This window comes from Homo sapiens, chromosome 11, assembly GCF_000001405.40.
Source record: "Homo sapiens chromosome 11, GRCh38.p14 Primary Assembly".
Lineage (NCBI taxonomy): Eukaryota > Metazoa > Chordata > Mammalia > Primates > Hominidae > Homo > Homo sapiens.
In genome coordinates this window covers 19,255,571-19,283,074 of record NC_000011.10, presented here as the reverse complement: position 1 = coordinate 19,283,074, position 27,504 = coordinate 19,255,571, and the positions used below count along the sequence as shown (strand labels likewise).

The 27,504-nt window shown below is 42.9% G+C and overlaps 1 long non-coding RNA gene and 1 pseudogene across 2 annotated transcripts in view, besides 2 other annotated features; one reads left to right on the top strand and one right to left on the bottom strand.

Moving 5' to 3' along the window:
* Positions 1–27,504, bottom strand: part of CSRP3-AS1 (CSRP3 and E2F8 antisense RNA 1) — a 116,546-nt gene that overhangs the window by 30,184 nt on the left and 58,858 nt on the right. For both annotated transcript variants that reach the window (NR_183675.1, NR_183672.1), the window contains exon 3: positions 1,625–1,825. This is a non-coding gene — a long non-coding RNA (CSRP3 and E2F8 antisense RNA 1). The remainder of the gene's footprint in view (positions 1–1,624; positions 1,826–27,504) is intronic.
* Positions 5,359–5,653: an enhancer, noted in NCBI's record as "tiled region #11719; HepG2 Activating DNase matched - State 23:Low". NCBI's record gives its function as "activates a minimal TATA promoter and a strong SV40 promoter by Sharpr-MPRA in HepG2 cells {active_cell/tissue: HepG2}" and the evidence as "EXISTENCE:reporter gene assay evidence [ECO:0000049][PMID:27701403]".
* On the top strand, positions 7,807–8,546 carry PCNAP4 (proliferating cell nuclear antigen pseudogene 4; annotated as a pseudogene).
* Positions 13,485–13,674: a silencer, noted in NCBI's record as "fragment chr11:19290948-19291137 (GRCh37/hg19 assembly coordinates)". NCBI's record gives its function as "represses an EF-1alpha promoter that drives an FKBP-Casp9 reporter gene in an ReSE screen in K562 erythroleukemia cells {active_cell/tissue: K562}" and the evidence as "EXISTENCE:reporter gene assay evidence [ECO:0000049][PMID:32094911]".

Below are 27,504 nucleotides of genomic sequence, written 5' to 3'. Positions count from 1 at the left end.
AACCTGGCCAACATGGTGAAACCCCATCTCTACTAAAAATACAAAAAAATTAGCCGGGTGTGGTGGCACACATCAGTTAATCCCAGCTACTTGGGAGGCTGAGGTGGGAGGATTGCTTGAACCCAGGAGGTGGAGGCTACAGTGAGATGAGATCATCACACTGCACTCTAGCCTGGGCGATGGAGCGAGACTCCATCTTAAAAAAAAAAAAAAAAAAAGAAGACACTAAAGCTCTGCGTCTTTCACTCATGTGAGGACACAGTAAGAAGGTGGCTATCTATAAGCCAGGAACAGGGCCCTCACCAGACACTGGTTCTACCAGCACCCTAATCTCAGAGTTCCCAGCCTCCAGAACCACGTGAGATAAATGTTTGTTCTTAAGCCACCTAGTCAATTGTATTTTGTTTTAGCACTCAGAACTGACTAAGCCAGAAATTGCCCCAAAACTTAATAACTTAACATTAAAAACATTTACTATCTCACAGTTTCTGTGGGCCAGGAATCCAGGAGTGGCTAGCTAGAGCCTATGGCTTTGAGTCTCACAGGCTGCAATCAAGGTTTTGGCTGGGGCTACAAGTGCCCTCAAGCCTCCACTAGAAAGATCTGCTTCCTAGCTCACCCCTGTGGACACTGGAGTGAGGCCTCAGTTTCTCATGAGCTATTGGTCAGAGGCCACCCTCAGTTCCTTGCCACGTAGGCCTCTCCATAGAGCATCTCATAACAGGGCAGCAAGCTTCATCAGAGCAAGTGAGAGGGCAAGAGACAGAGAACGCTGTTGAGATAAAAGGCAGTCTTTTGTAGCCCAATCAGCAGTGACATCCCATCACTTTTGCCATATTCTGTTTCTCAGAAGCAAGTCTCTAGGTCCACACCACATTCAAGAGCTAGGCTGTGACTGCCAGGAGTCATGGTTCTTATTGAGAACCACATCAGCAGCCTCATGCCATGCTCCTGCACCCACCCATCCCCAAGGGCAAGCTCCATGACAGCAGGAACCTCATCTGTCTTGTTCTCCACACTACCCCAGTACCTCACTCCTGGTAGATGTTTGATATCTATTTTTTAAGGAATAAACAAAGTAACCAAACTATAAGCTCCAGGAGCTCCCAGTATTGCACCCTGGAATACATGCCTGTATTTTTTTTCAAATTTTATTTTTAATTGACAAGTAATTGTATATATATATGGGATACAATCTGATGTTTTGATATATGTACACAATATGGTATGATTAAATCAAACTAATTAACATGTCCATCACCTCACATACTTATCATTCTGGGAGGAGTGTGAACATTTAAAATCTACTGTCAGCAATTTTGCAATATACATTACTAAACGCTTGTTGAATGAATGAATGATCTGAATGTCCTTTGGTGAACATTTGACACAGTCCCTAAATCACTAGATTAAAAAAATGTAGGAGACTGAGTGGCTTCATGAGTACCATGAAAAATAAGAGTTTTTTAGATATAATTACCCATAAATCCTCATTCCAAACCACGTGTCCATGGGGCCATTTTGCAGATGCTTAAATGACTTAGGAATCTCCCTAGAAGATATGTGGGAAGAGAGCTTGCTGTCACTAGAGAAAGGAATGGAAAGCAGACCTTTATCCTCTTACCAGGTTGTGGCAGGGGCTCCAGAGAGTTTACATTTTAAATTTGCATAATTGTTTCCCCTTGATTGGCTCCCCTTCCTGCTAAGGCTGGTGTCCTGGAGATGCATGTCCGAATTACAAGTATATTGCCAACGCAGATCAGATCTGTGCATCACTGCTGCTGCTGCTGCTGCTGCTGCTGCTGCAGTCAGCTGATTGGCAAGCCTATTAAAATACAAAGAGAGCCCCACATGAGCAACTTTGGGGACCTGGAGGGGGAGGCTGGTAAGAACATGTCTTTCCCACCCCCACCGCACCTCTACCACAGCTGTTAATTGCAAAGGGGAGCCTTGATAAATGAAAGTGAAAACAGATACACAACTCGACCGGTGTTTATTAAAGAAATAGCAAATGGCAAGATGCCAGCATGGATAAGCTTCACTATAATCAGTGTGTTTATTTCACCAAAAAAAAAAAAAAAAAGAAAGAAAAAAAAAAAAAGCTCATCTGGGCTGCTTTTAAGGCTGATAAACTCATTATGCAAAGTTTCAGCCTCCATAGAACTGAGGCTTTTCTATATGTTAATTCATTTCAGTAAATAATTAGTCTGTTTGGCTGAGGAAACACATGTCTCCATAATTTAATAATTGGGAGGGTTATTACATGTGATTAATAGGGGTCATAAACTAACACTGAGAGTTTAAAACCATTTTTTTTCACTTTGAACAGATATAATAAAGAAGGCTGATGGGAAGGTAGGGAAGATTCTCCTCCCCTTCACCTCCACCCCCTTCTCGTTTTCTTTTTAGAGTTGGGAAAGCAGTGCTCAGAACAGGAGAGGTTGTCTTTCTTCCCCACCAGAGGTCTAACTCTGATGCATGGTCTGCTTCTCTCGGGAGCTTTGAAATGTGCCTCAGTGTGTCTAAGTGTGTCTGTATGTAAGAGGTGAGAAAGGAAGAAGAAAGAGAAGAAGAAAGGGAAGAGGACTAAAAAGAGAGACAAAGAGAGAGGAAAGAACTTGAGTGACTGGTTCCTCCAGGCCAGAGGCTCCCAAATGCCCATCTGAGCCCGGACCTGTCTCTTCACTGTGGATCAGTGAAGTTTACCCCAATCCTCAGTGAAATGGGAAAAAAATTAGAACAATGTAGTAACTTTTTCATAGAACCAATATGTACCCAATGTTTTAAAATTCTAGGATCACCCTTCACACAATTGAAGTGTTTAAATGCCCTTTTACGAAATAACAATTGTCGGTAATATCTTTCTCCATCTCCTTACTTGGAAAAATGAAAAGCTGGCAGCTTTTAACCACTTCCCCGCAATATTTTTTGGCATTTTTAGTTTAGAAATGTATTAATACCAAGTCTGTAAAGCTTCAAAGTCCTTAGAATCAGAGAGAACCATTTGGTCTCAAGAGTAAAACCACCCTGAGCCAGATTTCCAAATCTGATTTTTCTGGGCTACTTCCTTGTTCAGTAAATGGGTGAAGTCATTAACCTACATATTAATCCAGCAATTCAAAAATATTAATTGAGCATCTAACGTGTAATAACCACTATTCTTAGCACTGATGATAAAGCAGCTGATGTATTTTAGTAAACCATCATCTATTTTGTTGCAGGAGTGTTAGTTACCCCTATAAATGTAGAGATTTCCTATATGTGACTGCTATAGTTTGGATGTTTGTCCCCCAAACCTCATGTTGAAATTTGATCTCCAGTGTTGGAGGTGGGGCCTAATGGGAGGTGTTGGGTCATGGGGATGGATCCCTCGTGAATGGCTTGGTGCCCCCTTGAGGTAATGAGTTCTCTGTTAGCTCGCAGGAGAACTGATCGTTATAAAAAGCCTGGCACCTCCCTCATCTCCCTTGCTTCCTGTCTCACCACATAACCTCTGCATACACCAATTCCCCTTCCCCTTCTGCAGTGAGTGGAGACAGCCTGAGACCTTCACCAGAAGCCATCAACAGATGCCAGCTCCATGCTTCTTGTACAGCCTGCAGAACTGTCAGCCAAATGAACCTCTTTCCTTTATAAGTCATCCAGGCTCAGGTATACCTGAGTCCATAGCAACACAAATGGACTAAGACAGTGACTGAGGCAACATCTACAGTGCCTGGTTCTTACACGGGATCAACACATATTTGTTACCTAAATGAATAAACATACTACACATGGTTGTTATGAGATAACAGATATGTAGGATCTTTACATATTACAATATTGTTGCCATTTATCCTGTCAAGAAATGGACCTTTCATGCCCAAGTAGGGCCAGCAGAGAAGTCCTAAGTATCAATAGCTTACAAGAAGCCACCTGAACTGGGCCCATATTATCATTTCAGAAACGTTGGCTACTCTATTAGTCCATTTTCATGCTGCTGATAAAAACATACCTGAGATGGGTAATTTTTAAAGAAAAAGAAGTTTAATGGACTCACAGTTCCATGTGGCTGGGGAGGCCTCACAATCCTGGCAGAAGGCAAAAGGTACACCATACATGGCAGCAGGCAAGAGAGAATGAGAGCCAGGTGAAAGGGATTTCCGCTTATAAAATCATCAGATTTTGTGAGACTTATTCACTACCACGAGAACAGTATGGGTGAAACTGCCTCCATGATTCAACTATCTCCCACTGGGTCCCTCCCATGACACATGGGGATTATGGGAGCTACAATTCAAGATGAAATTTGGGTAGGGACACAGCCAAACTATATCAACTACCCAGCTCCCCTAAATGCCCACCAAGGACCCATTGGCTCTTCCCAGCCCTAGCCCCAGCCCCAGATCCCTGTCTTGATCTTTGACCCCTGATGTCCTGATCTCAGCCATTCTCAGTCCCGACCTTTCCCAGTCCCGCCATCCATGTCTGTTCTGGCCAGAGGGATGCTGGTCTACCAGTCCACCATCCAGCTCAACTAGAATCTGCTTCAGACTGGGACACGTTGGTTTTGGCAGAGGCTGGGGGGCTGGGGCTGCATCTTATCCAACATGCCTCCTCTTTTCTAAGGATATAGTGAATCTAATAAAGTACAAGCTCTGCCACTTTGTAGGCACTAGCATCCTAGGCCAGGATTGCTCTTCCTGTGAAAGTAGCACACCTAGAAGCTTCAGAGAGGTAAAAGCTTCAAACCACATTAACTCATTCAAATACGTTTAATTTGAATCTAATATGCCTAATGTACCTAATATATGCGAGTCATTGTGCTAGGCACTGGGCATACAGCAATGAACAAAGCAGGCAAAGATCTCTGGCCTTGTGATGCTTCATTTCCAGTAGATAGATAGAAATGCATATACAATAAAATGCCAAGGAGTGATCAGTGTTATGGAGAAAAACAAGGTAGGCCAAGGGGGCAAGGTGGCAGAGAGGGCCTCTCTGAGGAGGTACATTTGAGGTAGACAGTGGGGGAAAGGCATATCAGGCAGAGAGAACAGCAAGTGCAAAAGCCCTGAGGCCTAAGTATGCTGGAATGTTTTAGAAGTGGCAAAAGGCGGCCAATGAAGTGACATTCCAGGGGCTACAGAGTGGAAGAGAGAAGACAGTGGGCAGCCAGCTCAATGGCACCTTGTGGCCCATGGTGAGAACTCTGGATCCAACACGTTCAATATTTAGGGAACCAATGACAAATTTTCTGATAACTTAAAAGCAAGGAGAGGCTTGAGCCGAAACCTGGCCTGGCCCACATAGTCATGAAAGAAGCAGCTCATCTTCAGAGAATTCGTTCCAGCCCTTTCTTCCTCCTGCGCTCTTCAGCCCCGACCTGACACCCTTTGCCCTCACCCCAGGTCTCTTGTCTCTCCTTTGCACTATTCATTTGGTCACTGACTCATCAGCAAACAATCCTGGAGGTAGGGGATGAGAATCATGTGGTAAGCACCATGTCATGGCCAGGATTGGTTACTGGGATATACACAATCAGAACGCAGCCTGGCTTGAGATCATACTGGACATGGGCTCAGAGGAGCTGATTCTATCCAGCTTTGCCATTTAGCAGGCTTTGTTTTTAAATAGAAACTGCAATAACTGCTCTGCACTCATGCAGTGCTGAGGAGCCAGTGATGAAACTGGAGTGGCAGTGCTTTAGGTAAACTGTATAGTGAGATGCCCATGTCAGCTGCTCATGCCAAAGTGATTATAGTCATTAAGCCCTAAACCTGCCTATAGGACCTCGCCCTTGCAGCTAAGTGCCTTCATAAACACCATCTTTCTTACTTCCCTGGGTCCTGGGCCCCAGAAATGTCACACCTCCATTCCCTCCTTCAAACTCCCCTAACCTCACTGTTGCTCAACTCTAGGAAATACTGATCTTTCAGATCCCAGAGGTCACAGAAAACTTGCACAAGTGTAGGGCGTGGCCTCGTGTATGACACACACCAGCACTATGCTAGCACCTTCTGTAGACACATACCTCAACAGCCTCACCCACAGAAAGAACAACACACACTGCACCAAAAGGGCCCTTGGGCACATGCGTATCCTCTGCTTAGCTGATCAGCTGATCCATGTAATGGGGATGTTTATTCATTCATTCATTCATTCATTCATTCATTCATTCATTCATTCATTTGGTGAGTCATCAAACATTCCTTCAGAGGCTTCCATGGGCCAGCTCTGTGGTAGGTCCTGAGGCTCCGGCCATGACCTCTATTGCCTGGCCCTGGCGTATGGAGGCCTGAGATCTACCTGGGACAGACTCTGGAAGACTGCTTTATGGCCATGGCCATCTCATCAGCAAGTAGGAGCTATGCGAAACTGCATCCATCTGAGGGGTCAGCGATATCAAGGCTGCCTCTGAGGTAATGTCTGCGTCACCTCTGTTGGAGACTATGTTTGCCATTTTGAGTGGCCCATGGGACAAATTGCTTTCTCCATAGAAGGGGCCACCTCTGCAGCCCTGTAGTTGATAGTGAGTCAAGTGAGCAGGGATTTCATTCTGCCTTGCCATGCTATGTCAGTTTATGACTTTGGATACAGCCATTCTGCTCCCTGGGCCCTGGGCCCCCAACTGTCAGAGCAAGAATTGCAGAAGACAAACATTCCTACAAACTTCTCTTGTTCTAGACCCATCCTCATTATGTTTGCCCTATACTCCCCTACCACCTTGATTCACTGCATTTTATTTAACAGTTACCTATGTGATGCTTAGTGTGAGCTGGGACATGTTGTAAGTGCTTACATGAACTAACTCATTAAGTGGGTACTACTGTTATTCCTTAAAGATAAGGAAACTGCAGCACAGTGAAGTACTTACCCACTGTCCCATAACTGGTAAGTGTGGTGCTGGGAGTCTGACCATGCATCCGTCTTCAGAGTTCATTCTCTTAACTACTATGCTATGCTGCTTCCCTTAACAATTTTCTTTAAACAGATTCACTTTTTTAACATTATTTTTAAAAAACCATTATGACCACTGATTGAAAACCTATATGACTTGCCATAAATAGAAGAGACATTAAAATGCATGACTATTACATTTAAAACCCAATAGTCCTCCAAGTGACTCCTAAGATCATCTCTCAGATGACTGGGGACACTTGCGGACACCTGGGGAGGAAGCACTAATGGCTTTTCTGACACTTTAGGTACCTGCAGGCCTCCCAGGAAGAAGCTCGGGGGCAGACAGCCTTTATGCCTCTGTGGCCCTCCTCTCCTGCCTACAATAGTGCCACTCAGCAATACACAAGGTAAAGGCTTCAAGGAACTTGGCTACCACCAGTCTGGGGCTTCAATGACTCACTGCCAATCCCTGGGCATGATGCATCCACTCAGGGGCTGGTGACAGCCTAGCCAGAGGCTTCCTTTGCTCTCTGCTTTCTGGAGCGACAGCCCACTGGAGGCATGTCCAATCCCTGCCAGAGTAACGGACAAGTCTCCACTGTCTCCAGTGATGCCAGCAGAAACTGCAAGGGCGGGAGGTGGAGTGGGTGTGGATCCCAGCATGGCTCCTGGGTTTCTGCCAGGAAGGTATTCTGAGGATAGCAATCTGTGAATTCCACCACTCGTGCTCCTGAACACGCACCAGCTCTTCATTAAAAAAACAAGTCTTGATTAAACAGTTGCAGGCATAGTGGATTTGTCATCATCTTTTGAGGTCTCAGCCTCTTCCCACGGCGTTTGCCCACTTGCTCTGAGCTTCATAAAGCCAAAACTGCCTAGACCTTCTTCCTTCGCACCTTCCTGTAGCCATGTCATTGTGACTCCACCATGTTCGAGGTACACCTGGTCCAGGGCTCCATCCTGAAGAATGTGTTGGAGGCCCTTGAGGACCTCATTAGTGAGGCCTGCCGGGACATTAGCTCAAGCAGCTGAATGTGCACAGCATAGACTCGTTCTGCATCTCCTCGTGGCAGCTCACCCACTGCTCCAAGGGCTTCAACACGTGCTGCTGCGACTACAACCTGGCCATAGGCATGAACCTATCCAGTATGTTCAAAATACTAAACTGTGCTGGCAATGAAGATGTCATGATGTTAGGAGCTGAAGATAATGCAGACAACTTAGCACTAGTATTTGAAGCACTAAATCAGGAGAAAGTTTCGGATTATAAAATGAAGCTAATGGATTTGGATGTTGAACAACTTGGAATTCCAAAACAAGAGTACAGCTGTGTAGTAAAGATGCCTGCTGGTGAATTTGCATGCATATGCTGAGATCTCAATCATATTGGAGATGTTGTTGTAATTTCCTGTGCGAAAGATGGAGTGAAATTTTCTGCAACTGGAGAACTTGCAAATGGAAACATTAAATTGTCACAAATAAGTAATGTTGATAAAGAGAAGGAAGCTGTTGCCATAGAGATGAATGAACTAGTTCAGCTAACTTTTGCACTGATGTACCTGAACTTCTTCACAAAAGCCACTCCACGCTCTTCTACAGTGACACTCGGTATGTCTGTAGACGTACCACTTGTAGAGTATAACATTGCTAATATGGGACTTTTTTTTTTTTTTTTTTTTTGAAACAGAGTCTCGCTCTGTCCCCAGGCTGGCGTGCTTTGGCGCGATCTCGGCTCACTGCAACCTCTGCCTCCCAGGTTCAAGCGATTTTCCTGCCTCAGCCTCCTGAGGAGCTGGGACTACAGGCATGTGCCACCATGCCTGACTAATTTTGTATTTTTAGTAAAGACAGGGTTTCACCATGTTGGTCAGGCTGGTCTTGAACTCCTGACCTCAGGTGATCCATCCTCCTTGACCTCCCAAAGTGTTCGGATTACAGGCATAAGCCACCATGCCCGCGCCATATGGGACATTTAAAGTAAATATTACCTGCCTCCCAATATTGAAAATGAAGAAGGATCTTAGGCATTCTTAAAATTCAAGAAAATAAAACTAAGCTCTTTCAGAACTGCTTCTGGGATGCCAGTATATAATAAAGTCTTTTCTGTCACCAAATTTATGCTTCTGAGTACATATGTAAGTATAATTTTCTGTATATAACCTATTTTTCTCTATTCTCTATAATTTATTTTTTATTATTATACTTTAAGTTCTGGGATACTTGTGCAGAACATGCAGGTTTGTTACATAGGTATACATAAGCCATGGTGGTTTGCTGCACCCATCAACCCATCATCTAGATTTTAAACCACACAAGCATTAGGTATTTGTCCTAATGTTCTTCCTCTGCTTCCCCCAACCCCCCAACAGGCCCCAGTGTGTGATGTTCCCCTCCCTGTGTCCATGTGTTCTCATTGTTCAACTCCCACTTATGAGTGAGAACATGCGGTGTTTGCTTTTCTGTTCCTGTGTTAGTTTGCTTAGGATAAAGGTTTCCAGCTTCATCCATGTCCCTGCAAAGGACAAGAACTCATCCTTTTTATGGCTGCATAGTATTTCATGGTGTATATGTGCCACATTTTCTTTATCCAGTCTATCACTGATGGGCATTTGGGTTGGTTCTGTCTTTGCTATTGTGAACAGTGCTGCAATAAACATATGTGTGCGTGTGTCTTTATAGTAGAATGATTTATAATCCTTTGGTTATACACCCAGTAATGGGACTGCTGAGTCAAATGGTATTTCTGGTTCTAGATACTTGAGGAATTGCCACATTGTCTTCCACACCGGATGAACTAATGTACACTCCCACCAACAGTGTAAATGCATTCCTATTTCTCCACATCCTCTCCAGCATCTGTTGTTTCCTGACTTTTTAACGATTGCCATTCTAACTGGCGTGAGACGGTATCTCATTGTGGTTTTGATTTGCATTTCTCTAATGACCAGAGATGATGAGCATTTTTTCATATGTTTTTTGGCCACATAAATGTCTTCTTTTGAGAATTGTCTGTTCATATCCTTCACCCACTTGTTGATGGGGTTGTTTTTTCTTGTAAATTTGTTTGAGTTCTTTGTAGATTCTGGATATTAGCCCTTTGTCAGATGAGTAGATTGCAAAAATTTTCTTCCATTCTGTAGGTTGCCTGTTCACTCTGATAATAGTTTCTTTTGCTGTGCAGAAGCTCTTTAGTTTAATTAGATCCTGTTTGTCAATTTTGGCTTTGGTTGCAATTGCTTTTGGTGTTTTAGTCAGGAAGTCTTTCCCCATGCCTATATCCTGCATGGTATTGCCTAGGTTTTCTTCTAGGGTTTTTATGGTTTTGGGTTTTACATTTAAGTCTTTAATCCATCTTGAGTTAATTTTTGTATAAGGGTGTAAGGAAAGGGTCCAGTTTCTGTTTTCTCCACATGGCTAGCCAGTTTTCCCAGCACCATTTATTAAGTGGGGAAGGCTTTCCCCATTGCTTGTTTTTGTCAGGCTTCTCAAAGATCAGTGGTTGTAGATGTGCGGTGTTGTTTCTGAGGCCTCTGTTCTGTTCCATTGGTCTATATATCGGTTTTGGTCCCAGTACCATGCTGTTATGGCTACTGTAGCCTTGTAGCATAGTTTGAAGTCAGGTAGTGTGATGCCTCCAGCTTTGTTCTTTTTGCTTAGGATTGTCTTGGCTATGCGGGCTCTTTTTTGGTTCCATATGAAAGTTAAAGTAGTTTTTTCTAATTCTGTGAAGAAAGGCAATGGTAGCTTGATGGGAATAGCATTGAATCTATAAATTACTTTGGGCAGTATGGCCATTTTAACAATATTGATGCTTCCTATCCATGAGCATGGAATTTTTTTCCATTTGTTTGTGTCCTCTCTTATTCCCTTGGGCAGTGGTTTGTAGTTCTCCCAAAAGAGGTCATTCACACACCTTGTAAGTTGTATTCCTAGGTATTCTCTGTGTAGCAATTGTGAATGGGAGTTCACTCATAATTTGGCTGTTTGTCTATTATTGGTGTATAGGAATGCTTGTGATTTTTGCACATTGATTTTGTATCCTGAGACTGCTGAAGTTGCTTATCAGCTTAAGGAGTTTTTGAGCTGAGACAATGGGGTTTTCTAAATATACAATAATGTCATCTGCAAACAGAGACAATTTGACTTCCTCTCTCCCTATCTGAATATGCTTTATTTCTTTCTCTTACCTGATTGCCCTGGCCAGAACTTCCAATACTATGTTGAGTAGGAGTGGTGAGAGAGGGCATCCTTGTCTTGTGCTGGTTTTCAAAGGGAATGCACCCAGCTTTTGCCCATTCAGTATGATATTGGTTGTGGGTTTGTCATAAATAGCTCTTATTATTTTGAGATATATTCCATCAATATCTAGTTTATTAAGCGTTTTCAGCATGAAGGAGTGTTGAATTTTATCAAAGGCCTTTTCTGCATCTATTGAGATAATCATGTGGTTTTTGTCATTGGTTCTGTTTATGTGATGGATTACGTTTATTGATTTGTGTATGTTGAACCAGCCTTGCATCCCAGGGATGAAGCTGACTTGGTCGTGGTGGATAAGCTTTTTGATGTGCTGCTGGATTCAGTTTGCCAGTATTTTATTGAGGATTTTCACATCAATGTTCATCAGGAATATTGGCTTGAAATTGTCTTTTTCTGTTGTGTCTCTGCCAGGTTTTGGTATCAGGATGATGCTGGCTTCATAAAATGAGTTAGGGAAGAGTCCCTCTTTTTCTACTGTTTGGAATAGTTTCAGAAGGAATGGTACCAGCTCCTCTTTGTACCTCTGGTAGAATTCAGCTGTAAATCCGTCTGGTCCTGGACTTCTTTTGGTTGGTAGGCTATAAATTACTGCCTGAATTTCAGAACTTGTTATTGGTCTATTAAGGGATTTGACTTCTTCCTGGTTTAGTCTTGGGAGGGTATATGTGTCCAGGAATTTATCCGTTTCTTCTAGGTTTTCTAGTTTATTTGCATAGAGGTATTTATAGTATTCTCTGATGGTAGTTTGTATTTCTGTGGGATCAGTGGTGATAACCCCTTTATCATTTTTATTGTGTCTATTTGATTCTTCTCTCTCGTCTTCTTTATTAGTCTGGCTAGTTGTCTATCTATTTTGTTAATCTTTTCAGAAAAACAGCTCTTGGATTCACTGATTTTTTTGAAAGGTTTTTCGTGTATCTATCTCCTTCAGTTCTGCTCTGATCTTAGTTATTTCTTGTCTTCTGCTAGCTTTTGAATTTGTTTGCTCCCGCTTCTCTAGTTCTTTTAATTGTGATGTTGGGATATCGATTTTGGATCTTTCCTGTTTTCTGACAAGGGCATTTAGTGCTATAAATTTCCCTCTAAACACTGCTTTAGCTGTGTCCCAGAGATTCTGGTATGTTGTGTCTTTGTTCTCATTGGTTCCAAAGAACTTATTTATTTCTGCCTTAGTTTCATTATTTACCCAGTAGTCATTCAGGAGCAGGTTGTTCAGTTTCCATGTAGCTGCGTGGTTTTGTATTCTCTATAATTTTTTAAAGTCTAAAGTCAAATCTGGTCTTGTTAACCTAGAACTAACTTTTGCCTTACTTAGAAATATGTCTTGTGATTTTTTTAATACAAAAAGGTCTTGACTCTAAATGCAATTTTAAGAATTGTTTTTGAATTTAAATAAAGTTACCTGAATTTCAGTGCTTTCGTTTGGACCAGGACTGTTGCAAGTATCTACTGAATTATCAGCTAAAGCTACCATTTCATGTAAATGCTTTTTTAGTCTAGAGCACCCTGGTGAAGGTCAAAAATACTTCAAACACAGTAGGGTACCAGTTATTTGGGGGGAATCTGTCAAGCTTATTTTGCTCTTATTCTAACTGTGCTCAAGTAACGAACAGGGGAGAGTAAAACAAATCCTATGTATTTCATCATTTTGTCATTTTAGTTAGCAAAAATCAACACTCTTCAGAAGCCTAATGTGCCCAAAGTCTTGTGGACTTTATAAGATTATAGAGGTAGCATTTCTTTTCAGCCTAGGGCATCTTTTACAAGGGCTTTGGAAGTTTCAGTAGATGAGTGATGGGGCCCTTGGAGTATGGTTGTGAAAAAAAATTCTCTAATATAAATACCCTTTTTTGTGACTTCACTCCCTTAAAGGATTAAGATGTCTTAAATTCCATGGATGTTGGACCCAACCAAGAAAGCAAAAAGGCCCTGAAGTTGTAAAGAAAGACTTTAAAACATCCCCAGTAAATGCTGCAAGGTATATTTTGTGTTTGGTAGATTAAATGACTGGTTTCTTTCTTGTATTACTTGGACTGAGTTCTAGTTACTAGACATTACAATTAACTGTATTAAGTAGCTGGTATTCATTTACCTCAGTGTGCTTGTGAGTAGGGAAGGAGGGCTGCAAAGGGGCCCAGTGGAACTTTTTGGAGTGATGAAAATATTTTATCTAGATTGGTGATCATTCCAGGAGTGTATGCTTTTTTCAGAACCCATCCAATTATACCTTATTTTGTGTAAATTACACTTTAATAAACCTGACTTTTAAATAACCAAGGTTTTACTTGCATTGGCAGTGGAAGGAGGAAAAGTGAGGAATTGGCACAAGACAAAACAGTCTTCCATTAAACAGTTTTCTTTAACTTGGAGCACACATTCACTTGGGGAAGATGTTTGGGGAACCAAATCATACATGTACCATTGAGCAGCAGGCTGGGTGCTCAGAGGGCATGGTTGAGTCATTGAGGTAAGAGAAATCGAGCTGGAATCCCCCAAAATAAAGTTTGATTCTTGTCTCTAGCACTTGGGCAAGTGTGTGTGTGACCTCCTCTCTTGGTCTCTATGTCCTCATCTCTAAAATGGGGATGATATCCTGGGCCACCCAGCTTACAGGACCATTTTTGGTACTGAGTGAAAGAGTGGCTCTGTACATGCCCTGGAAACAGTGAAGCTCCCTGTGGATGGGGGCATTTGAGATGATGAGGAATTAACCACCCTCACCTGGTGACACCAAACCTGGTGTCAGGGACAAGGGCAGTTGGTTTTAGATCTGTCCTCTGTAAACAAGGGTGTAGTCCTGCCCACTTCCATGGCCATCATAACTTGTCAAATGATGCAATATTTGATCCAAAAGATAACCAGACTCACAGGAGGGCAGAATGCCAATGAAATGAAGCATTGGTTTATGCAGAAATGGAAATATTTTTAAACTCCTTATTTTGTTCTGGAATAAAATATAGGTTTGATTCCCATTGCAACTAGTTTACCAAGTAAAATTTGGCCAGGAGGCATCGGAGGGGATGGTTCAGGGAGGCAGGGAACAACTTTAGCTCAGTTGGAAATTTCAATAGATGACAGATACTCGGTTCAGTTTAGGTTCCAAGCAGGAGGGTTGTTTGCCCAGTTTGGGTTTAGAGGCTGTTACATTTGCGGTCCACTGGCCTTTTGTAATGGGGTTTGGCTGAGCAAGTGACATTCATCATAATGTGCTTTTTTAGTGTTTGCAAGTCAGAATCCATTTGATGGATGACATTCAGCTTTGGCTGTAACCACTAAGAGAATAAGCTGGCACAGTGGCTTACCCAGACACACAGGAGGCATCTACCCACCCTTCATTCATTCATTCAACAAACATTTATTAAACTCCTATTGTGCTAGGCTCTCTTCCAAACAATCAGAAAATGAAGATACTGAAGATTTAGTCTCTGATCTCAAGGAGTCCATAGTTGAGTAAAAAACAAGCCTGTAGAGAGATATATTACTATATAGGGATGTTAACAGTTATAGTCAATGCCCACACCAGGAGCAGGACAAGGAAAAAAAGTCTAAGCATCAGTTCATGATTCATAGAGGAGGTGGCCCCTGGTCTGGACCTCAAAAGATGAGAAGTTCACCAAATAAATGACACTGCATTCTGATTCTTATTTGTTTACCAGTGAATGGGTGTATTTATTTCTGCACGTGCATACACACACACACACACACACGCCATTAACTTTGTCTTCTTCATTGCTAACCAGTGAGAAAAACTCAGCAAGAAAAGGACCATTGATACCTGATATAGTTTGGATATTTGTTCCCACCCAAATCTCAAGTTGAATTGTAATCCCCAGTGCTGGAGGTGGGGCCTGGTGGGAGATGTTTGGGTTGGGGGGCGGATCCCTTATGGCTTGGTGATGTCTTTGTGATAGTGTTCTCATGAGATATGGTCATTTAATAGTGTGTGGCACCTAACCTCCCCCCCACCGCCCCCACCTATTCTCTCTCTTGCTCCTGATTTCGCCATGTGATGTGCCTGCTTCCACTTCACGTTCTGCCATGAGTAAAAGCTCCCTGAGACCTACCCAGAAGCCTAGCAATGTCGGCACTATGTACAGCCTGTAGAACAGTGAGCCAATTAAACCTCTTTTTATAAACTACCCAGTCTCAGGTATTTATAGCAACACAAGAACGGCCTAATACAATACCACACATAAACCTTCTTCCCCTGACAAGCCAAGGCCCTGGGAAGGGCTGAGGTGACAGTTACAAGCTGGAAAGGCCATTCTCATAGAGCTGCCACTTGCAGTGATAGCAAATAAGGAAAGAAAGTTCATTTCAGATTCTACTGGCTTAGGATGGGTAGCCCCGTGACAGCCAAATAGCCTTGACTTTGAGGAAAAAGCAAGAAGTCAAAACCTAATACCAGTTACTATCAAGACAAAAAGGTAATTATGGCATTTGGTCTGCAGGTATCAAAGAGCAAAGCAATGTTTGACCTTGCCAAAGGGTAGGGATTATGTCATGAGGATGTGTTAGCCACCGTGCACTCTGCTACTCAGTATCAGAGGAGCTGGGGAAGAGAGAACTTAATTCTCCCAGCAAGCAGGCAAGGCTAGCAGAGGCAGCATATTCAGTAGCCAATTGCCCAAGGTGGCTGCAAACAAAAAGATTAGACTTGCTTAACTGTTCAAGCTGCAGAACAACTCCCGAGGAAGGCTTATTGACTGCAGCTTCAGAAACAACAGCAGAGAGAAGGAACAAGGAGGAGGGAAGAGGAACACATGTGTTGATCCTGCTCACACTGGCAGGCAAAAGAGCCACCAGCCAGAAAACAAGTCAATGCAGAAACACTGGCTGAAAGTCACTCATTCTGGGGAAATTAAGAGAGAAGTGACATTCAAAAAATGTAAAGCTGGCTCAAGGCTGTAATCCCAACACTTTGGGAGCTGAGGTGGGCAGATCACAAGGTCAGGAAATCGAGACCAACCTGGTGAAACCCCGTCTCTACCAACCTGGTGAAACTCCATCTCTACTAAAAATACAAAAAAATTAGACGGGTGTGGTGGCATATGACTGTAATCCCAGCTACTCGGGATGCTGAGGCAGGAGAATCGCTTGAACCAGGGAGGCGGAGGTTGTAGTGAGCCAAGATGGCACCACTGCACTCCAGCCTGGGTGACAGAGCAAGACTCTGTCTCAAAAAAAAAAAAAAAAAGTAAAGCATCAAGTGACAGCATCAAGATGAATTTGTAGATTTAACCAACCATGAAGATGTACCTCTTAAGTAAGCTAAGTCCCCTAACCCACCACTCTTCCTCTTAAATGGTCACAGACTAGTAGCTGGCAGGGGCTAGAGAGGCCTCCAGACCAAATCCTTTATTTTATACTAGAGGCATCAGGGGTGGTAAGCAGATCAATGGACTGTGATCAAAAGTCCTTCCTCTCACTAGCTACAGGATCTCAGACAAGACATCTCAGCCTGTAAGCTGCAATTTCCTCATCAGTAAAATGGGAACATTAAGACTGATGTCATTTGAATGTTGTGAAGACTAAATAAGACATGTGAGAATGCATCCTAAGGGTTAGGTATATTTTTAACCTGTGAATATACCGCGGTTCTAAGAGGTAAAGTGATTTAAGCCCAAGAAATCAGCAAATGGGATGCAGAGCTAGAATTCCTGACACCTCAGGTGGTGTTCTTTCTGCTAAGCCACACCTGCCAACATGGAAAGAGTTTCATTTCAAGGGTGCAAATCTTGTCTCCTAGGCAAGCTTCTGTGGGACAAGGATTATGTATTCGCCATGCCCCACAATGGTGCTTCGTACTTAATAACAACAGCCAACATGCATGGAGGCTTTACAGTGTGCTGGGCTTTGTTCTAGGTGATTTTCATGTGCTAACTCATTTTATCCACATGTCAAATCTATGAGGTAAGATAGTATTATTATCATCAACTCCAACATTACAGATGAGGAAACTGAGCACTGGTTAAGAAAGTGCCCAAGATCACACCGCCAGTAAGTTGGTTATATTTATTTTCAAATCAAGGCAGTCTGACCCAAAAGCTCTGCTCTAACCACTATGAGGAGAAGCACTGATGTCGGAGCTGGCTGTGTTATCCCAGGGGTAAAGTAACCTGCTTGGATGTAGAAGACTGGCACAGGACTTGTACACACTAGGGACTCAATCAATTGTTGTTTCCCTTTATTTCATGGAAGTCCTGAAATAAAATAACTTGCCATGTGCAGCCCTGGTGCTGGCTTCTTGCCATCAGGATGACCCAGAAGTACTTCAATCCTTTCTGCCTGTCACATAGGACTCAAGAAAATTTGTCTTAAATGCACTGGGCCTGGACTTTAACCAACAAGGAGAAACATTCAACCTTGCTGCCAGTCAAAAAACACACATTAGAATTACATACTTTTAGGCTGAGTGCAGTGGCTCACACCTGTAATCCCAGCACTTTGGGAGGCTGAGGCGGGTGGATTGCTTGAGCCCAGGAGTTGAAAACCAGCCTGGGAAACATGGTGAAACCCTGTCTCCACAAAAAAATACAATTACCTAGGTGTGGTGGCACATACCTGTGGTCCCAACTACTCAGAAGGCTGACGTAAGAGGACCGCTTGAGCCCAGGAGGTCGAGACTGCAGTGAGCCATGATTGCGCCACTGCGCTCCAGCCTGAGTGACAGAGCAAGACCCTGTCTCAAAAAACAAACAAAACCCTATATACTCTTTTCACCTATCAAATTAGAAAAAAAAATTAATGATAACATTTAATGCTTTAATGCTGGCAGATGTGCGGTAAAACCGATATTCCTAGACCCTGTTATAACAGTATAAATTGTACTTCACATGAAAACAGTTTAGCCGCATATAGTTGACTCTTGTTATTCACAGTGGTTATATTCCATAACGTCACCACTAACACTGAACTAACGAATCCTGAACCATTGCTTCTAGGGGAGTCATGGGGTTAGGCTCCTGTGATCCTCTGGTCACATCTTCATCAACCAATCAATGCATAACCTTGTTTTATGTGTGTTTCTGTTTAAAGACACGTTATTTAATATACTATATACTGTTGATTAACACTGAACTCACAGCCAACAGCACTACAACTCAGGCCTGAACGATGCTCAAACACACATATTTTCTCTATAAGGCACATCACAGCCTTCTTCCACTTAGAAACACAAGACAGCACATCAATACTATGATGGGGGTCATTTTAAACAGCAAAATCGCCCATATAAAGCACAAAAATGCAAAAGCCATAGCACTAACTAGACCGTGAAGAGGACATTCATTTATAACTGAATCAGGAAGGCAAGTGTCACTTTGCTGGACCTCAGTTGCGAATGTGCATGACAGGTGTCTCACTTGCTCTCACAACGTGCATGTCCAAGAATGACCATGAAAGCACGGCCAGCATTGATTTGGGAGTTACAAATAACTGTTAGCATGCAGATGAACTCACGAACTCAGAATCTGTGAAAAATGAGGACCAACTGTATATATTAAGAAACTAACAAGCTTGTGCACATTGAAAAGCATGGGTGACAGAAATCTGGATTTGATTTCACAAGCAGCTTTTGAACTGATCTTATTTCCGCTGAAAAAGATCCATCTGAGACTACAGTGTGGGCTCAACTGGTAAGAACTACTGTTCAGTTCAGGCTTAGCATTGCAGCAAGGAGAGTTAAAGGCCCCAAGCTTGGATTTGGGGATGGGAAGCATCACAAAACCAGGCACAGGCTCCCCTGCCCCTCACAGACTCAAGGCCCTGGCCTCCACAGAGAAAGCTCCCACCAAGAAACCAAGCCCTTCTCAAGTGTCTGCTGAACCCACGGTTCTAGGGATAGCCAGGAGGACAAAGCCCCTTCTCCTGTTCTGACTTATCTCTGCCCCTCTTCACCTCTCTGATCTGTTTGTGGTACACTGGCCTCCCTGCTGTTCCCTGAACACACCAGGCAGGATATGGTCCCACCTCAGGGCCTTTGCACTTTCTGTCTGCCCACCTAGAACACTCTCTAGACATTTGATGGGCTCCCTCCCTACGTCTTTCCTCTCTGCTCAGTGAGGCTTTCTCTCCCCTCTCTGCCTTCCCTGTTTTGTCTCCATAGGAATTACCACCATCTGATAGATCATTTGTTTTGCTTGCTCATTTATTATCTCTCCCCCATGTAAACTGGGGAGAGGGGGATTTTATGGTTCTTATAGTACCCCTATTCCTAGGGGAAGGCCTAGCACATAGTAGGCACTCAGTAAATGGTACTATTTGTTAACTGAATTAATGGATGTAATATACTAGTAATAATGATAGTGGGAGTTAACATTTTTGCATCAGTTACTGTGTCGGGTGCTTTACACAGGTTACTGCATTGAAATTCCAAAGCCTTAACACGTGAGCACTGTTATGCTTATTTTGCAGAAGGAACCAAGGCACAGGGAGATTATGCAACTTAATTAAGGTCAACCAGCCAGTAAAAGATTGAACTGTAATAAATCTCAGCTTTTTCTGACTCGAAAGTCACTATACCAATTTTCAAACTTTCTGTGGTTAAGGAACCAGTTGGTTTTTTTCTTCTTCTTCTTCCCAGTCTATCATAGATTGATTAACAGAAAAATGAAATGGGGGAAATCTACAAAATACAATATGTGCTTGAATGTCATGGCACTATCCAAGTTTTTAAACACCTTCAATATTTGTACTTATCTCCCCACTGACAGGTAGAAACAGTTTGGTCTACAGTGCAGTTTTTGAGTATATTGAGCTCTGCATTACACCCAAGGAATCAAATACTGTCGTTCTGAGTTTCTAGGTCATCTGGGGACTGAGGTTGAGACTCCAGAAGAAAAGTCCATGATCTCTTTTACTTGTAGGAAACTTGAAAATGTCTCAAGTCAAGTTTCCTTCATTTGACCCCTTACAGTTGTTAGAAGTGGGTCCTCTCACCCTCAATTTTCAGGTAAGAAAACCTGTTTTTCCTCTGCCTAGAATGCCCCTCCTCTGGGCTCTGCAGGGGGTCACCTCCTTAGAGTGACCCTCCCCAACCAACCATGCAAATAGCATTGCTGACCCTCTCTTATCACACAGTCTAATTTCCATCACAGCATTTTTTACCATCAGAAATTTTCTTTTTCCTTGTTTACATATTTGCATTCTCTCATCACTCTTTATATTAATAACACAAACTCCAGGAGGGTGGAAACCTCAGCTCATCAGTCCCTCTACCCAGCAAAGAATTTGGTCCCTTGAAGTATTAACTGAATAATGCAGTAAGAAAAAAGAAACACAGAATGATTAAATAGCTTACCTAAGGTCAAAAGCAGGTAAAGGCCTGAGATGGAAATCACATCCACTCAGTTGTTCAACAGAGAATGTTTCAGTGTCTCTTTCTCCAGCATGGGCATGGAGCTGGGCACTGGGGTCTTGGTGGTGGATGAGAGAGGGAAGACTCCTGTCTTGATTGGGGCCCACAGGACTCAATCCCAAGCACAGCAGTTCTCCTCCCCGCCTTTCTGGCCCTCTCCATGTTCTTTCATCTGTACATACTATTCTGCTTTCAAACACTTTCTCACAAACAATCGTGTTATTGTGTAAGCAGGACATTATATTACACTCACTTTTAGCACTGCCAGATAAAATGTGTTACATTTAAATTGCAAATAAACAATGAATAATTCTTTAGTATGAATATGTTCCATGCAATGCTCAGGAAATACTTATACTGAGAAATTGTTCGTTGTTTATCTGAAACTCAAATTTAACTGGCTCTCTTGATTTTTTTCTTTCATTTTTTTGCCCGTAAATATGGCAAGCCTACACATTTTACTGATTAGAAAACTGGGGCTCAGGGAGGACAGAGAACTCCAGTAACTTGGCCCTAAAGGCAGACACCAACACCCAGCCAGAGAGCAAGAGCTAGCCCTATCCACCATAGAACAATGAACTCAATGTTTCTTGAGTCAGAAAACCTGACCCCCCACAGCTCCTTTTACTTCTTTCTTAAGGACCCAGTGCTTCTGAGCCCAGGCCAATTCCAGCATGGCTGTCCAAATCCATATCCCCTGAGGATTATCTTGCCATTGAAATGTCTTCCTGGCCTCCAGCAAAGAAGCAGTTGCCATGTCTATGTTTAACCACTTTTAGTAAATTTTTCTTCTGATGATAAAAATACCTTTGTAATGTATTTACACAATGGAACACTACACATCAATGAAAAAGGAACAGATGCTGCTACATACAACAGAACAGCTTGGTAAGTTTTTATATATTTATACACATCGACCTAAAGAAATAGCACTGAGTAAAAGTCTCGACACGAAAAAAGAAAACATCTGGTATGACTCCGTATATATGAAGTTCAAAAATAGTCACAATTAATTTGTGGCCGTAGAAGTCAGAACAGTGGTTTCTGAGGGGTGGGGGTCATTGGGAAGGGACATGAGGGAACTTTCTGGGGTTTTCATAATGTTCTGTATCTTAAGCTGGGTGATGGCTATATGTATATATAAACATATCTTAAAACTTACATGTTCACTTAAGATTTGTGTACTTTTCCAGTTGTAGATTACACTTAAAAGAAAAATTTAAAATAAACAATACATGCTGACTGTAAAAAAATGCCTAAAGTAGACAAGTATTTATTTATTTATTATTTAATTTTATTTATTTTATTTTATTTATTTTTTTTTTTTTTGAGACGGAGTCTCGCTCTGTCGCCCAGGCCGGACTGCGGACTGCAGTGGCGCAATCTCGGCTCACTGCAAGCTCCGCTTCCCGGGTTCACGCCATTCTCCTGCCTCAGCCTCCCGAGTAGCTGGGACTACAGGCGCCCGCCACCGCGCCCGGCTAATTTTTTGTATTTTTAGTAGAGACGGGGTTTCACCTTGTTAGCCAGGATGGTCTCGATCTCCTGACCTCATGATCCACCCGCCTCGGCCTCCCAAAGTGCTGGGATTACAGGCGTGAGCCACCGCGCCCGGCCTATTTATTTATTTTTTTGAGATGGAGTCTCACTCTGTCGTCCAGGCTGGAGTACAGTTGTGCAACCTCGGTTCACTGCAAGCTCTGCCTCCCAGGTTCACGCCGTTCTCCTGCCTCAGCCTCCCGAGTAGTTGGGACTACAGGCACAGGCCACTACGCCCGGCTAATTTTTTTTTGTATTTTCAGTAGAGATGGGGTTTCACCGTGTTAGCCAGGATGGTCTCGATCTCCTGACCTCGTGATCCGCCCGCCTCGGCCTCCCAAAGTGCTGGGATTACAGGCGTGAGCCACCGCGCCCGGCCAAAGTAGTCAAGTATTTTTTAAAAATTAGGCCGGGCGTGAGCTGACGCCTGTAATCCCAGCACTTTGGGAGGCCAAGGCGGGCAGATCACAAGGTCAGGAGATCGAGACCATCCTGGCTAACACGGTGAAACCCCATCTCCACTGAAAATACAAAAAAAAATTAGCCGGGAGTGGTGGCTGGCGCCTGTAGTGTCAGCTACCTGGGAGGCTGAGGCAGGAGAATGGCGTGAACCCGGAAGGCGGAGCTTGCAGTGAGCCGAGATTGTGCCACTGCACTACAGCCTGGGCAACAGAGTGAGACTCCGTCTCAAAAAAATAAATAAATAAATAATTTAAAAATCATCTGTACTACCACCACTGGGAGATATCGCAACTAACATTTTAGAGTGTCTCCTTCCAGATCTTTTTCCAATAGCATTAACTTTTCATGAGTATTTCCTAAGAGAGGAATTCGGGACCTAATGCCAATCAGTGGAGGTGCTAACTTACTTAGGAGTCTGAATTTCCTGGACGTGACTTTCACTTATCCAGGAAGCCCTGACACAACTAGATTTAATTTGACCATTTTTAGAAAAGCATGGAACAATTAACAGCAAATAAATGGAATTTAAATCAAATTGAATACAGCTTTTCAATGACATGTCTTAAAATTTAATTTTAAGCACAGTAATGAATAGGAAATGAAAGCTTGGCTTTGGAGAACTCATGAGCCTTCTGGGACCAGGAGTGCCACCTACTGGTCACGGCCTGCCATGACACATCCCAACATCTGTGTCACCCTCCTTAATTAAAAGCCCCAACTATGATGCCTCCTTTTCTCATAAGTTTATACATCTCCTCCAAGAGCTTTCCAGACATCTGTTTCTACAGTGCATTGTATACGTCCTATAACATAGAATTATCTTAATAAATATTTGCTCAATGAATAAATGCATGGATGGGTGGATGGATGGATGGATGAGTTAGATGGGTGGATGGATAGATAGATAGATAGATAGATAGATAGATAGATAGATAGATAGATAGATAGATAGATAGATAGACAGACAGATAGATAGATAAAAGATAGACAGACAGACATTCTTGCACCTCATTGTAAAATAAGAGAATAATCCCTATCCTACCCACTTCATAGTCTTTTTTCGAAGAATAGATAACCACTGGTAAAGACCATAGGGATATGAGTGAATATTATGACAGCCAATGCCAGGAGACTGTAGGGGTCAAATGGTGACCAGGGTAAGCAGTGAGGCTAGAGACAGAGCATTAAAAACAGGAAACCTAAATAAATGTGAAAATGTCTTGAGCCAGGGACTTAATAGGAACCTGAAAAATGTTAGCTCTTTTCCCTTTCTTCTGTCCCCATTTACAGCCCCAGCTCACAAATCCTTTCTGTAGTATATGAGGAGTTAAGAATGAAGATCTGACTGGGTGCAGTGGCTCACTACCTGTAATCCCAGCACTTTGGGAGGCTGAGGCAGGGGGATTGCTTAAGCCCAGGAGTTTGAGACCAGCCTGGATAACATAGTGAGACTTCATCTCTACAAAAAAAATAAAATTAAAAAAAATTGCTAGGCATGGTGATGCATGCCTGCAGTCCCAGCTACCTGGGAGGTCGAGGCTGCAATGAGCCATGACCATGCCACTGCACTCCAGCCTGGGCAACAGAGCAAAACCCTGTCTCAAAAAGAGATCTGTCCTTTCCTGGGCTCATTCAGAGGTAAAGTGATGTTCAATGTTTGCCTGTTGTCAGTTTTGAAAGAGGCCAAGATCACTGTGCTTGTAATGTGAGCTGGCCCATCAAAGCCCCTTTCAGTTAGGAAAAGTGGTTTGTGAATCATCACTGTCAGTCTGGCTGATTGCAAGGTGCCCATCTGAGCGTGTCCACTGTTGACAGCATTTGACAAGCATCGTGCGGGCCTCACTTCTAGAGGCTGCACAGTGGGGGCTCTGTTCTGCATAAAGGCTGCATGATGTGGCAGAAAGAATACAGACAATAATTAGGAGGATTAGGATTTGCCACTCACTGGCTGTGTGACCTTGAGCAAGTCAGCTTGCCTTTTGCCAGTATATAAACCACCTCATTAGAACCATGTAACAAGATAATGCCTGAGAAAACACTTTGTAAATTAAAGCACTGGACCCAGGGTAAGGTGTGGCTATTAATAGAATCCCAAGTGGGCCAGGTGCGGTCACTCACACCTGTAATCCCAGCACTTTGGGAGGCCAAGGTGGGCGGATCACCTGAGGTTGGGAGTTCGAGACCAGCCTGACCAACATGGAGAAACCCTGTCTCTACTAAAGATACAAAATTAGCTGGGCGTGGTGGTGCATGCCTGTAATCCCAGCTACTTGAGAGGCTGAGGTAGGAGAATCGCTTGAACACAGGAGGCAGAGGTTGCGGTGAGCCAAGATCACACCATTGCTCTCCAGCCTATGCAACAAGAGCGAAATTCCATCTCAAAAAAAAAAAAAAAAAAGGGAACCCCAAGTGAACTTCTGCCCCAGAGGGGCCTGACCCAGCTGAAAAACCACAGCCCCAGCTACTCAAGAGGCTGAAGCAGGAGAATTGCTTGAGGCCAGGAGTTCAATGATGCAGTATACAATTATCGCACCTGTGAATGGCCACTGTACTCCAGCCTGGACAACTTAGTGAGACTCCATCTCTAAAAATTTTTTATTTTAATAAGCAAAACTGCAGGTAGTGTCATTTGCACTGATCTGGATCAGACTTCTACTGATGAACTTCAACACTATTTCAGCAGCTACATAACAAACTTTTTCATGTTAAGCTTATGGTCCACTAAGACCTACCCCTGATGGCTTTTTTAAAATATGGACTACAATCCTTCGTATTTCACCCACTCTTTGATTGGGTAATTGACATTTTTAAAGCTAAATATAGACTTTGTGTTACATTTCCTCTAGATAAATTTAATATTATTGCTTTGGTCCATCCATCTAGGCTATTAAAATATTTTTATTACTACTTTGGCCATTCCATACATTACCTTGCCCTGTTGACTTGGCGAGAGTTAAACATTTCAACAGTGTCCAATCCATTCATCCATTCAACCTACATTAACTGAGCACTTACTACTCTCTAGATGTTACGTAGGAGCCAAAGATGCAGAGGATGTATCTGACAGAGGGTGGCAAGTACTTCTGTAGAAGCAAGCCATGGGTTCAGAGAGCAGGGAATCTCTATTGCTGCCAGCAGCAATGGAAAGGTTTCCCAGTTTATGAAACATGGCAGAAGCCAAGACCCAGTCTCCTTTTCTTTCTGAGCATACTGCTGGGCTGTATTTCCCAGCCCCCAATGATTCTTTGTGCTTCCACATTAATGACCAGGTCTTTCTTCCCAGGCAGATAAACAGATGAAATTCCACTGTGGTAATCCTTTCATGATTTCCTCTGCCTTCCAAGCAAAAAAAAAAAATCTGCAGGTGGCAGTAGTCTGTCCTTATCTTTCTGACCTCATAACCTTATATTCATCCCCTTGCTAGTACACATGTCCGTTTGGCAAATTATCAGTAGAGTTCCCACAATGGGCCAGGCCATCGCATTCTCTTAAATCCTCTCTGAGCTCAAAATCTCCACACTGGGGAGTGGTGCCTTCCCCATCCTGGTGGGTCCCCTTCTCCTTTGCATCCTTTGCTTTTGCATCCTAGCTTAGATCAAGGTCTGGGCATCTGCATCCATACACCCTTGCTTAGCACCAGGCATCCAAGCCACTGTGTAAAGGTGCTGCATGAGGGAAGGAGAGGACAAGGAGCACTCTGTCCACTTAGTCTCTTGATTAGTAGAGCACTGCAGTAAGAAAAACCTGGACATCAACTGAAGAGACAGGGGCTCAAGTCCCAGACCTGCGAGCAACCAACTCTGTGATTTGGGATATGCCCTTCTGAACTTTATTATAAAACAAGCTAAATAGACTTTCAGCTCCAATATTGTGATTCTTTCTAGGCCAATCCCTAATTCCTGGTTGAACCCTCTATTCTATTCTAATCTAGATTTACAGTAAAACAAACAAACAAACAATTTTACGAGGCAGAAGAAAGGGAAAAGAGTTTACCCAGCCTTCCTTATACCAAAATATCTGCTGGCAATGTGCAGCCCAAAGCTGAAAAACAATTGCTAAGGGTTATAATTCCAGAATATCCTCAGATTTGTCCTTGCCCATAACCTGATTTCTTTTAAGGCCAGACTAATTGTGTCCAGACTCAAGCTCCATGCTAAGTCAGGACTGACTTAAATTATTCATGGAATTTCCACACTGGGATGGTTTGGGAGATATTATTTGCAGATGTATTTATCCTTTCCCATCTTCAGGAACTCTTAATAATGAGCTGTTTAGATAGGCAATCCGTTAGCTTCCTTGAGCCTCCATTTCTTCACCTGTCAACAAGGAACACAGTTCCTCCCTTGTCTTTGGCTCTCGAATATCTTTGGTTCTGTGATTGCAGGTGCCTCAGCCTGAGATTTCACATGCAGATCACAACCAACAGCAAACCACATAGACATTAAAAAAAAAAGAATGCCATTTGATGATTAAACTCAAAAGGAATTATGCAATTAGCAAAGGACGTTGATCACACAACATGTGAGTCTAATTGCAGTGCATGCAAATGTTTGCTAAATTAGATAAATATAGGTTTGCAGGCACTCTGGTGCACAGATTGAGTTTTAAAGTTAAGAAAAATATAAAAGTTAATTATAAGATGGGAGTGATAAACACAGGGTATGCGCGCTAGGCCGATTAGGATTATTAACCAAGTAATCACCTCATGCCAAAGGTGGAGTGTTATAGGAGTCATGGGCCCATACTCTGACTATTGTGTAATGAAGTTATCATGTTTTATAGAACATGAAAAACTTGCTTCATTTTTACACAGCACCTGTCATCTGGGGAATCTCAGCACTTTGAGGTGTTTCCATTCTCTCACCAGTTTGCCTGATGCACATTGCCGAGGTGAGCAAGACTTCGTGTACTGGCTTAGGGAAGAAATGCTGGATGCTAACCATTCTCAGGCCCTCAGGAACCTGACACGAATGAGAAATCCATAAGCCCACAAGGCAGCTCTTATAGGA